Below are 1,312 nucleotides of genomic sequence, written 5' to 3' on the forward strand. Positions count from 1 at the left end.
GTTTTAAATACTAAACTTAAAATAAACAAATGTGAAAGTGAAGTAGATAACTTTTTAGGAATTCATGAACTCTGGATCCAGATTTGTCCTGGTCATACATACTCTTCCCCAGGGAGAAACAGCAGATGCGAACGTGATATATCAAATGGTAGCAAAATAACATTTTATTATTAGCTCGAACCATAACTAAATAGTTTGGATCACTTGGATTCATTTTCTTTCCCTAACTAATGACATAAGAAAGGTGAGTTGATTTTAGCTGTGGTCAGGAGGCGTCTGTTCCTCATACTTTGGATCTCCCCAAAGGGCTTCTTGGGTGTTTTCTTGACATGATAGCTGGTTTCCCCAGAGTGCATGATCTAAGAGCACAAGGTATGAGCTGCAGTACCTTTTATGATGTAGACTTAGAAATCAAGTTTTGTTGTAATTGTAGTATTTTATTGAATCTGTCAACTCTATTCAATGCTGATGGAAACTATACAGTGGCAAAAATACCAGAAAGTGGGAATTTTGAGGAGACATCTTGGAGGCTGTCTGCGAGAGAGTACATACTTACAGATTCTAAATTACATACTTGGGAACAATTAGTGTTGCAGCTCTTTTACCCCTGTAGTTTGATGAGTTCCAAGTTCTTGCCCCATGACCAAGAAGAATGATGTATGCAGACACCAGAGAGTGAGTAAGGCAGAGTAGAATTTATTGCGTGACAGAAAAGCTCTCAACAGCAAAAGGGGATCTGAAGGTGGGTTGCCAGCCACGAGGCTGAGTCTAGGGCCTTTTATGAGCTTGAAATGGAGAAGTGTGTGCTGATTGGTCTGTAGGTATGCTTGAAAAAGCACCATTCACAAATAGGCATGTTAGTGTAGAGGACCAACTGGGGAAAGGTAACTTTAGGTAAAACAGGTGAAGGATAAGGGCCAATCAGGAGAGAATGTGCCAAATAGGAACAGGGGCTCTCAATCTGGTCCGTGAATTTATCAGGAACTTGTAGCTTGGTTTTCAGGCTTTAGACTCTCCTTGGCTTGAAGGTTGAATTACACCAAGGACCCATCCCTATCTGCCTAGGAATTTACCTGCCTCCTATCGCTATCAGTAGCCTATTTTGTGAATCTCTAATTTTCACTCATAATTTTATATGGTATTTATTTCTTCTCTAAAACTAAAGATGAAGTCTTAATAATTATTTCAAATAATTATACTTCTATTTTTATTCCATCAAATGAATAACACTTATAATTAATATTATTCTTAATTCTCCTGTTGTTACCAATAAACTTTAAAATAATATACCAATACTTCTACGTTTTTCTAA

The 1,312-nt window shown here is 37.5% G+C and overlaps 1 annotated feature.

Annotated features, from left to right (window-relative positions):
• Nucleotides 223-426: a silencer, noted in NCBI's record as "fragment chr7:125175027-125175230 (GRCh37/hg19 assembly coordinates)". NCBI's record gives its function as "represses an EF-1alpha promoter that drives an FKBP-Casp9 reporter gene in an ReSE screen in K562 erythroleukemia cells {active_cell/tissue: K562}" and the evidence as "EXISTENCE:reporter gene assay evidence [ECO:0000049][PMID:32094911]".

Source organism: Homo sapiens, chromosome 7, assembly GCF_000001405.40.
Source record: "Homo sapiens chromosome 7, GRCh38.p14 Primary Assembly".
In the NCBI taxonomy this organism is placed as follows: Eukaryota; Metazoa; Chordata; class Mammalia; order Primates; family Hominidae; genus Homo; species Homo sapiens.